A 12,054-nucleotide genomic window follows, 5' to 3' on the forward strand; every position below is an offset into this window, starting at 1 on the left:
AATATTAGGATTGTTGGCCGGGCGCAGTGGCTCATGTCTGTAATCCCAGCACTTTGGGAGGCCGAGGCAGGCGGATCACGAGGTCAGGAGATTGAGACCATCCTGGCTAACATGGTGAAACCCCATCTCAACTAAAAATACAAAAAATTAGCTGGGCACGGTGACAGGCACCTGTAGTCCCAGCTACTCAGGAGGCTGAGGCAGGAGAATGGCGTGAACCCGGGAGGTGGAGTTTGCAGTGAGCCGAGATTGTGCCACTGCACTCCAGCCTGGGTGACAGAGTGAGACTCCATCTCAAAATATATATATATATATTAGGATTGTTGTGTCCACTTCTGTGAATAATGTCATTGGAATTTTAAAGCTGATTGCATTGAATCTGTGAATAATGTCATTGGAATTTTAAAACTGATTGCATTGAATTATTCTTGGGATAGTATGGACATTTTAACAATCCTACTTCTTCTGGTCTGTGAACATGGGATATCTTTACACTTAGCTGTGTATTCTTCAATTTCTTTTATCAATGTTTTATAGTTTTCATTGTAAAAATCTTACACCTGCTTTGTTTAAATTTATTTCACGTATTTTTATGCTATCATAAGTGGGATTGTTTTTCTTGATTTCTTTTTCAGCTAGGTTATTTGTGTATAGATACCTAAAAGTTTTTATATGCTGATTTTGTATTCTGCAACTACTGAATTCATTTATTAGTTCTAACAGTTTTTTTATATGAAACTTTGGGGGTTTTCTACCTATAGGATAATATCATCTGCAAACAGAGATTACTTCTTCTTTTTAAATTTGAGTGACTTTTCATTTTTTTTTTTTCTTGTCTGATTGTTCTTGCTAGTACTTTCAGTACTATGTTGAATAGAAGTGGTGACAGTGGGCATCCATGCCTTGTACTGGATGTTAGTGGAAAAGCTTTCACTTGTTCCTTGTTGATTACAATGTTAGCTGTGGATTTTTCTTTTTCTTTTCTTTTTTTTTTTTTTTTTTTTTGATGGAGTCTCGCTCTGTTGCCCAGGCTGGAGTGCAGTGGAGCGATCTCGGCTCACTGCAAGCTCCGCCTCCCAGGTTCACGCCATTCTCCTGCCTCAGCCTCCCAAGTAGCTGGGACTACAGGTGCCCGCCACTATGCCCGGCTGATTTTTTATATTTTTAGTAGAGATGGGGTTTCACCGTGTTAGCCGGGATGGTCTCGATCTCCTGACCTCGTGACCCACCCACCTCGCCTCCCAAAGTGCTGGGATTACAGGTGTGAGCCACCGCGCCCGGCCAGCTGTGGATTTTTCTTAAACTGCCATTATTATGTTGAGAAACTTTCCTTCTATACTTAAACTGTTAAGAATTTTTATCAAGAAAAGATCATGAGCTTTGTCAAATGCTTTTTCTGCGTCAATTGAGACAATACTGTGGTATTGTTCATTCTGTTAATGTGATGTATCTTTGATTTGCATGTTTAACCAGCCTTGTATGGCAGAGATTAATCCCACTTGATCATGATGTGTAATCTTTTTGATGTGTTGTTGAATTCTCTTTGCTAATATTTTTAGAGAAAGAATAATTTTATTAATCCTTTTTATGTGAGGTCCTTAAACAAATAAGTCCCTTACTTGTTTGGACTTATTTGTTTGGTAAACTGGTAACTTGCTTAGTTTCACACAGTTGGTCATGAAAATACTTTAATAGAGTAAAAAAGAGCTTCTTATTGCAGTGGAATTTACCATGCTCAATGTTCGTGGAATGTATACAATGGGTGAAGACTGATGGTAAACAATGTGGGATAGGGTATAAAGATGAACAAAAGAGAATCTACTTTCATGATTTTTCCCAATCTAGCCAGGAGAACACATACATACAACTACCTTTAATAGTTAGGAGAGAGCTCCATTAGAAATATCACAAAAAAAGTTACAAAGGCATGAAGATATTTGGTATACCTAGAGACTTTCTAATGGTCTACAGTAGGGATCACAAACTCAAATGTCAGGCAGGTCACTTAAAGATGCGAAGTGAGTTGGGTTGGAGCCACAATAGGGTGTGGTGAGAATTGTGGACAACTTATAAAATAATGTTTCAAAGAAGTAAGAGATCTGTATTTTCGCTTGAGTGCTCCCATTCCTTAAATGATAAGACTTGTGTGCACACACACACTGGTATTGGGTGAACCAAAACAATGTAGCATGTCTTTGGGTTGGATCCTGCTTGTGTGCTCCCAGTTTATGACCTTTGGAGAACATAGTGTTTTTGGGGTAAGGACAAGGGGCCAGAGAGTGGTAAGAGATACCTCTAAGGAGATAAGTTGGAGCTATTTTGTGAGGATCTTGCTAAGAAATCGGTGCTTTATCAAGTAGGGCTCATTGAATCCCTCAAGGATCTTAAGCCTGGATGTGGTATCAAATTTGTGTTATCAAATGATCAATCTAGAACCAGCAAAAAAAAGTTTGGATTTGAGAAAGATAAGACTAGGATAGGAAGATTATGTATAGGGATTACTAAAATAATCTTGGAAAGAAACAAATGAAGGTCTGAAAGAAGAGATCTGAGAGCCATTAAGAATAACACCAAAATGACATAGAAACTGACAAGTTGCCATGAGTGAGGGCAGTGAGGAGTGATCCAGAAGCTTCTGAGTTAAGTGACAGCAGGGAGAGGGCAGTGGAAGAGCAGGATTTGTGGTGAGAGGGAAAAGTTTTCATGTTGAGTTGGGGAATCTCTGGGACTTGGTGTGGAGCTGTTAAGTAGCAAGATTAATCAGGAATCTGGACCACGTGGTCAGGCAGAACCAGGTGAAAATCCAGGCTCTGCTGGTTAGCACAGTGACCCGGGGTGTATTATTTAACTTATCTAAGGTTCTGTTTCTTCCTCTGTAAAATGAGTATTAGCACAGCACCTAGCTCACAGGGCCTGTGTGAAGATTAAATGAGTTAACACGTGTAAAGTACTTAGCTCCATGCCTGGCAGATGTTAATTCTTGATATGCGGTTACTATTAATATTTTAATGTTGAGTCATGGGAGTTAGCAAACAGACTCCTTAAATTCTCTTTGACCAAGGACAGGGGTGAGTCTTCAGGTAGGAAGGTCATGTATGGTCACCTGTAGAGACTGGAGGCTGCAAGGGAAAACTTATTTTTAGTGTTTTATTTTAAGGTAATTTATGGTGTGGCTTTTAAGGTTATGTCTAAAAGGTTTCTCTCCGCCTGGTGGATAAGGTCAGATGAGGTCTCAATTACTTGGGAGTGTTGCACACAGACTCTCTCCTGGAGCCTTGTGGAATATAGAGCTCAGCAGTTTCCAATCACTGGGGATCACTGAGAATTTGAGATCTTAAATCACATTAGGATCACTTGTGGCACTTTCAAAACTACAGATGGTAAAATGCTGTCTCTGGAGACGAGTCCTGCGTGGGATCCTGGCACCAGCTTGATCTAAGCATAGCATCAGGGTTGAGAACCATGGTTCCAGCTGCTGGAGTGCTGTGGGTCTAGCAGACACTTGACTTGCAGGTTTCAAGAGTGTAACACGATGTGGGTTCAGGAAGATTGATTTTGCATTCTGGATATTCTTCTAGAAGGTGTCTACCCTTGGAAGAGTTATTTAACTTCTCTGATAGTTGATGGACTTGTCTGAAAATAGTAGTAACATTAACCTCCTCCTGGCAACATGTAGCTATCAGGTTTATATGAGCCCAAGTCTGTGACGACATTAGCCTAGTGCTTAATACACCATACAGGAGCATCACAGGGAAGCTGTTAATATTGTTATTTATACTATTATTGAGGGTAATGATGCCACTTTGTAAATAAATGACCTAGATTCATAGACAACATACTAAACTTCAGTATGAATAATGCATTTAAACTTTTATGTTATAAACAATCGCAATTTACATACATTGTCAGAGCCTAAAGAACATTTCAGGGAACAAATGCCACAGGATCCCATGGTCTAGTAAACGATACTCACATTAACTTAATTCAGGAAATGAACACATAATCGCCTGGCATACCTAATTTAATCTGAAAAATGGTGCCTCAGAAACTGGTCTTGCAATTATGATTCAAACTCACTTCTCTTTGAGTAGCAGTTGCTAAGCCTTCGCTATGTTAGTAACACTAAGTTGGTTCAATTAATGCCCAATTAACTCCACACTGCACTAACTTAAACGTGTATCTCATAATACTGAGGAATACCTTAAACCTAAGCTACCCTGACTTCTGACTTCTTTTCTCATTGAGTTGCACAGCAAAACACAGCCATGTGGTACCACATCCTTCATGCCCACACACACAGCTGAATGTGACTAGAGAAACACATGGAAATTTGCTGTCTCACTTTACAATTTTTGACCTCCAACCTCAGATGCTGCTCAGCTCTCTACTGTATTTCCCTTGTCCCTTCATTCTTCCAGTGTCCTGGGTGACTGTTTAATGTTTTCCCTTCTCTAAATGGTCAATGCTTCTTCCACCATCGTCACTCCAGCTAGTGAGTTTGCTGTCCATTTCACATAGAACCAAGAGCACTCTTGAACTCCCACTCTGAAGTCTACCCGCCTTCCTGCATGTGTCCATGCACCCTGCCTTTGGCCCTGATGTTATGGATGAGTGGTCAGATCTCTGATGAAGGCCATCATCTCTATTGGCACATCCTCTCACCCCGTCATGATACTGCTGTATTAGGTCTTTTTTGCTCTCTTTCATCACAATTTCAACCTCTCTGTATCTTTTCCATCAGACAAAAATACTGCAATTTCTTTTGTCTTAAAAAATACACTCCCTTGACCCCATGGTCCATCCCATTCCTCTCCCCCCACCCCACAGCAGCAAACTCCTAGGAAGAATTGTGTATACTGCCCACTTCAGTTTTTTTCTCCCATTTCCTCTTGAACCCAGTCCAAACACGTTTTACCTTCATGATTCTCTAAAACTCCTTTTGTTCTATCAGCAATACCTTCCACATTGCTAAATCTAATGATCAATTATTGGTCCTAAATTTACTTGTCCTATCAGCAGTATTGGACACATTAGAACACTCACCTTTTCTTTTTTTATTATATTTTAAGTTCTGGGGTACATGTGCAGAGCATGCAGTTTTGTTACATAGGTATACATGTGCCATGGTTGTTTGCTGCACCCATCAACCCGTCACCTACATTAGGTATTTCTCCTAATGCTATCCATCCCCTAGCCCCCCACCCCCCAACAGGCCCCAGTGTGTGATGTTCCTCTCCCTGTGTCCATGTGTTCTCATTGTTAAACTCCCACTTATGAGTGAGAACATGCGGGAACACTCACCTTTTCTATAAGTGTTTTCTTCACTTGGTTTCTGGGTCAAAACTCTCTCTCTGGCTTTCTTCCTACATCACTGGATGCTCCTTCTCGGCCTCCTTTGTCATTACTTGCTCTCTTCAACTTCTTAACATTGGAGTGTGCAGGGCTTAGCCTGGGTTTTCTTCATTGCTCAATCTATACTCCCTTCCTTGGTGGGGTCAGGCTTTAAATACCATCTTATGATGACAATTCCCACACATGTATCCCCAATCTGACCTGTCCCTTATACTTCAGGCTTGTATACTAAACAACTTGCTAGGTATCTCTGTAGGATATCTGTCTAATGTCTAGCTCAACCCTAATGTGCAAAAAAGTGAACTCTCAATCTTCTTTCCAGCTTGAGCTTTTCATAGCATTCTCCTTTTCAGCCTAGAGTCAACTTTGTTCTGCCCATTGCTCAGGCCAAAAATCTTGAAAAAATATTTAACTCCTTTTTTTCTAATGTATCTCACATACAGTCCACTATATCCTGGATCTACCTTGAAATGCTTCTCACCATCTTTACCACCATTAACCGTCTTCCACTGCACCCACCCTGGCTGTCCATGGCTCAAGCCACATCAAGCCTTGCATGGATTATTGCACAGTCTACTTAACTAGTCTCCCTGCTTCCACTCTTATCCAGACAGGATGCTTTCAAAATTAGCCAGATTATGTAAAACATTGTCAGATCAGATTACTTTGTTCAAAACCTTTCTATGGCTTTCATTTCGAGTAAAGGCCAAAACCCTCATAATGTAAAATCCTACAACTCCCTCCCCTTGTTAGCTTCCTGACTACCTCTGCTGTCACCTCCTCTACCCCATTATTTGTCCTGCCCCAGTCATACTGATCTCCAAGTTGGCACCTGCTTCAGGACTTCTGCACTAGCCCCTTAACCTCCTTATTCCCCACCAGACTTGCTGCCCTTGCTCCTGCATATTCAAAAGACTTCTTAAAATCTTTTTCTAAACAAGGGAAGTTCTCCTCTTAGGAGGAATGCTTCCTTTTCTGTAGAATAGGGGGTTGGGGGTGGAATTGTGCCTTCTTTTATTTTGTCTGTCTGCAATGGAGACTGAGGAAGGACATACAGTGTGGTCTGAGGATGGAGAGTCACACAGCTAGGATCAGATTGTTGAGAAACATGAATACCCTGACAAGAAATGTAGGTTTTCATCTGCAGAATGGCAGGATGAGCATAGAATTTTAATAAACTCACTTTGTTGATGGTGTAGAGGATGATTCAGGAATGGTGTGTGGGCTAGAGTAGAAGCTGAGATAAGAATTAGGAAGTGATAGCAACAACCTGGCTAGGAGATAATTAGAACCTGCTCTAAAATCGTAGCAGTAAAGTTAGAAAGGAGGACATAAGTCCTACAGGTGAAACTAAGAGAGGATTGATATGAACTAGTCACAGTTAGATGTCAGATATGAAAGAAATGAAGGCATTTGGGATGAGTATGTGCATCCTGGCCTGGTTTTCTAGGTAAATGGTGGTTTTAGTCATAAAGAATAAACATACAAAGGGTAGGGGCAAGCTTGGGGATTGGACAAAATATTAGATCACATTTTGGACATATTGACTCAGAGGTACCTGTAGGACATCCACGGGAAATTATCCAGTATACAGAGATTGAAGCTAAGGAAAAAGATCTAAGCTATTACATAGATTAGGGCATCATTTAGATCAGAATGACTAAGTCATGCCAAGTCATATGCCAACAAGAGTTACAGAGGGGCCAGGCGCAGTGGCTCACACCTGTAATCCCAGCACTTTGGGAGGCTGAGGCGGGTGGATCACCTGAGGTCAGGAGTTCAAGACCAGCCATGGCCAACATGGTGAAACCCCCTCTCTACTAAAAATACAAAAATTAGCCAGGCATGGTGGTGGGAGCCTATAATGCCAGCTACCTGGGAGGCTGAGGTAGGAGAACTGCTTGAACCCGGGAGGTGGAGGTTGCGGAAAGCAGGAGATTGTGCCACTGCACTCCAGCCTGGATGACAGAGAGAGACTCTGTCAAAAAAAAAAATAAATAAATAAATAAATATATATATATATATATATATATATATATATATATATAGAGAGAGAGAGAGAGAGAGAGAGAGAGAGAGAGAGAGAGAGGAGAGTTACGGAGGGATCAAACCCAGGTGCTCTGGCTCCAGGGTCAGGGCTGTTGACAACTGTGCTCTAACACAAATTCCTTCCTTCCTTCTTGCTCCTCACCCCCACTTTGAAGGGCAGAACTTTACAAGCTTGTGACATCACTCCCTAAACAAGCTTCTTACAGGGATCTAAATATAGAGTTTCTCAGCAATGACTTTCTATTTGATTCTGTAAAATTTTCCTTTCCTTAATAGCCAAGAGTCTTGCAAAAGTAGTCTACACTCCTTAATTTATCACCTCCTGCTCACCCTTCAACTCACTCCATTAAAAATTCTGGTTTCTGCCTACAAACTCAATTTAGTCAAAGTCATACAGAAAGTCATTGCCAAATCCAAGAAAGATTTTTAGTTCTCACTTATTTTAACTGTTTATAGTACAGTGTTGGATTTTTTTTTTAATTTTTATTTATTTATTTATTTTTGAGATGGAGTCTCGCTCTGTCACCCAGGCTGGAGTGCAGTGGCACATCTCGGCTCACTGCAAGCTCTGCCTCCTGGATTCATGCCATTCTTCTGCCTCAGCCTCCCAAGTAGCTGGGACTACAGGCACCCGCCACCACGCCTGGCGAATTTTTTGTATTTTTTTTAGTAGAGACGGGGTTTCACCATGTTAGCCAGGACGGTCTTGATCTCCTGACCTCATGATCCGCCCACCTCGGCCTCCCAAAGTGCTCGGATTACAGGCGTGAGCCACTGCGCCCGGCCCAGTGTTGGATATTTTTGTACACATCCTTTTCTACACACAGTCGTGTGTGTGTTTATATGTGTGAATCGAGGGAGAAGGAGTCATGATAGAAATAGAAAGTTTAGAAAACCAGAAGGAAATGGCCAATCATAATTACGCCACACTTATGAAGCTCGTGCATAAGCGTGTATATTTCATATCTGGTTACAATCTACTCCCAATCCTGAAACTGATTGTGCTAGAAGTATTACTTTCAGTTCATTTTGAGCAGTAGTTGAGATAACCCATTAAACATCGATTTGTATACCAGATTTCTCTCCTCTTCTGGAAACCATCCAAAGGTAATAAGTAGAATCTTTAAAAACTCTCAAATTCCAATTTCAGTAAAATAGGACACAGATAATCTGCAGACTCTAACAACGACCACTAAAACTATAATCTGCAGATTCTAACAATGACCACTAAAACTAACTGAGACCTGGTTAGATTTCATCTAGAAGGAAGTCAAAAGGAATACTTAGAAGTCCTGGAAGTGATGGATTTTGCAAAAACACATTTTCTAAGAGGAAGAGGTCCACCCTCTAGTGAAAAAGCTACATGGCTTGTTTGCTACAGTGAGTGAAGAAATCTGGTGGCAAGACTCGAATAAAAATTCTCCTGGACTTCAACTTTGAAAAGCAGTGGATTTGAAGATGCAGAGGCAGTAAAATCACACAGTGCATGACATGGATGTGCCATCTTTGCAGAAAAGCTGTCTGTGTGGTTGCATTGGAAGGTTATTCAGAGTTTGACACCTGGAAGCTACTCTGGTCCTTCTTCCTTCCCCATAGGAACTTATTTAAATGGCTAGTCCAGAAAAATTTAACTCATTCAATGATGAATACTTTTTTCAGAGTATAATATCAACCCAAGACACTCTAAAAAAACTAAAGCCAAAAGAATAAACCAAAAAATTAAAATCAAAAAAGAGAATTTAGCTGAATAGTAGGGTAGAAAAGGAGAATGTAGAAAATATCATTCATATATTTCACAAAATCATTTAGAAGATATAATGAAAGGAATGAACCATTTACAATATCAGCAATAAAAATAAAATACCTATGAATGAACTCACTAGAAAATATTCAAAAACTATATGAAGAATACTTTGAAAGATACTAAATTCAATCAAACAAAGAAAAGATAAAGCCATAATCTTGGATAGGAGAATTCTACATAGTTGAAACACGATTTCTCTCTATGGTAAGTTTAACTTTATTCCAATGAAAAGTATCAATTTTTTCTTTCTTTAGAAAGAGACAAACTGATACTAAAGGTTGTATAAAAAAATGAAACAACCAAAAATAGTCAAGAAAACATTTAAAAGGAAGAAAGCTAAAATATTAAATAGTATTGTATTGACATATGAACAGACAAACAGAAAATAGAACAAGATAGGAAATAAATAAACCCAATGACATACTAATAACATCATATGTTATAGGGGTGTCATCAGAAATCAGTAGGGAAAATAAACCACTCAAAAAATGGTCACAGACAAAAGCCAGAGAGCCACCTAGGGGAATAGTTGGATTCATCTTTCACATCGTATGAGAATACATTCTAAATAGATCAAAGACTTAAATGTAAAATCTGAAATCATAAACCTACTAGAACAAAATGATAAAATTGCTTTTTAAATTTGGGGTGTGTATAATCTTTTAAAATATGACTAAAAATCCAGAAGCCATAAAAAAGGTAAATGTTACTATGTCTTAAAAATCTGTAAGGCAAAAAAAATTATTTTAAAAAGTCAAAAGACAACACACAGGAAAAAATTTATAATTCATAAAACAGAATAATCTCTGTCATATATAGAAATCACATAGATATTGATGAGAAAAACACCAACTTCCCAATTGCTTGCCCAGTTATATTGGGAAAAAAATAGTAAAAGTTTATTGGAAAAGAAATAAAAATGGCTTTTAAATACATGAAAACTGTTGACTGTTATTCAAAATAAGACAAATGAAAATTTAAAATTACATGGGATTATCATTTTTTTTAAATCATAATGGCTAGAAACCCCACAAATTTTTGTTTGACATCATAGTCCATTGGCAACCTGTGAGAAAACAGGAACTCTCCATTGTTTTGGGGAGACAGACATTAGTAAAACCCCACAGAAGGCAATTTGGCAATATTTGTCAAAATGATTTATTCATATGTCTTTGACCAAGAAATTCCTCTTCTGGGAAATTATCCAAGGGATTTAAATGATATTTATACACAGTTAGGCATTACAACATTTCTCAAAATAATGAAAACAACCTAAATTCTATCATATGGAAAAGGTGAAATGAATTACTGCATAGCTACCCAAATAGGTTATGCAGGAATACAAAAATAAATAAATACATAAACTTTCTGATAAAGTTATTGGATAAAAAGCTCTAAGATACATTAAATGAGAAAAGCAAGATGTATATAATATACAGTCTTTCAAATTGAAAATAAGGGAAAATAAGAATATATGTTTGAATTTGTGGATAAGTCCATAAAGAAACCCTGGGAGGACTCAGAAACATCTAAATATAGAGGTTGTTGGGAAAGATACTTTCTTGGCTAATTTCTTTCACTTCTTTTAGCCTTTAGAAAAATCTTCCCTTCTCAAAGAGGATTACCTTGGCTAGCTGCCCAGTTGAATGTGAAGGCCATGAGGATTATTGCTTTTGTCTGTTTTATTCCCTGGTATGTCCCAAGCACCAACAATAGTATACACAGTAGACACTCCAATATGTGTTCAATGAATGAATAGGTAAGGGGGTGGGAAACTTCACTGCATACTTTTGTATATTTTAATAATAAATTTTTTTGAAAAGTAAATTAAAAGTAAAACCAAAAAGTGAATAGTAGTAGATGTATTCCCACTTTTTTCCCATTTCAGTATTTGTTGAAATCACTCTCCATTTCGATGTTTGTTTTGATTAAACAAGGGCCGAAAATGTTTGGTGGCTCTGACGTTCCCGGGGCCAGCTTCACCTGCCCCTAAAGGACGGAGGGCTTCCTGGCCTTCTTCACAGTTCTGTAGAAGAGCCACATGGATGTTTGCCACCTGATCTGGCTCCTTTACAAGAATTTGACTTGCTTCATTCTTCTCTGTATGTTCCTAGATGATTGCAGGCCTGCGGTCTCCACAGTCTTCACTCACCAGTGTTCCTGCTATTTCAAGTTGACAAACATTCATTGAGATCCACATTGGTGTCATGAATGTTAGAGGCACAAAGGTGAATGTTATGTCATCTGTGCCATCTCAGGGCTTGCAATTCAGGAGGACAGGCACAAATAATAATTACAGGGGACTGTTGGAGTTCACCTAAAGATTTTTTTTTCTCAAGTCTTCGTACGGTTATGTGTTGCTTAATGACAGGGGTATGTTCTAAGAAATGCATCGGTAGGTGATTTTGTCATTGTACAAACATCATAGACTATGCTTACACAAACCTAGCTGGTATAGCCTACTATACATCCAAGCTAGACAGTATAGTCTATTGCTCCCAGGCTACAAACCTGTACAGCATGTTACTGCACTGAATACCATAGCAATTATAACAGAAGGGTAAGTATTTGTGCATTGAAACATATCTAAACATAGAAAAGGTATAGTAAAAATACAGAATAAAAGATTAAAAATGGTACACTAGATAAAGCACTTACAATGAGTGGAGTTTGCAGGACTGACTATACATTGCTCTGGGTGAGTCAGTGAGTGAGGGTGAGTGAATGTGAGGGCCTAAGACATTACTGTCCACTCCTGTAGACTTTATAAAACCTGGACACTTAGGCTACACTAAATGGATTAAATAATAGTTTTCTTCAATAATAAATTAACCTTAGATTACTGTAAC

Source organism: Homo sapiens, chromosome 8, assembly GCF_000001405.40.
Source record: "Homo sapiens chromosome 8, GRCh38.p14 Primary Assembly".
Classification (NCBI taxonomy): Eukaryota; Metazoa; Chordata; class Mammalia; order Primates; family Hominidae; genus Homo; species Homo sapiens.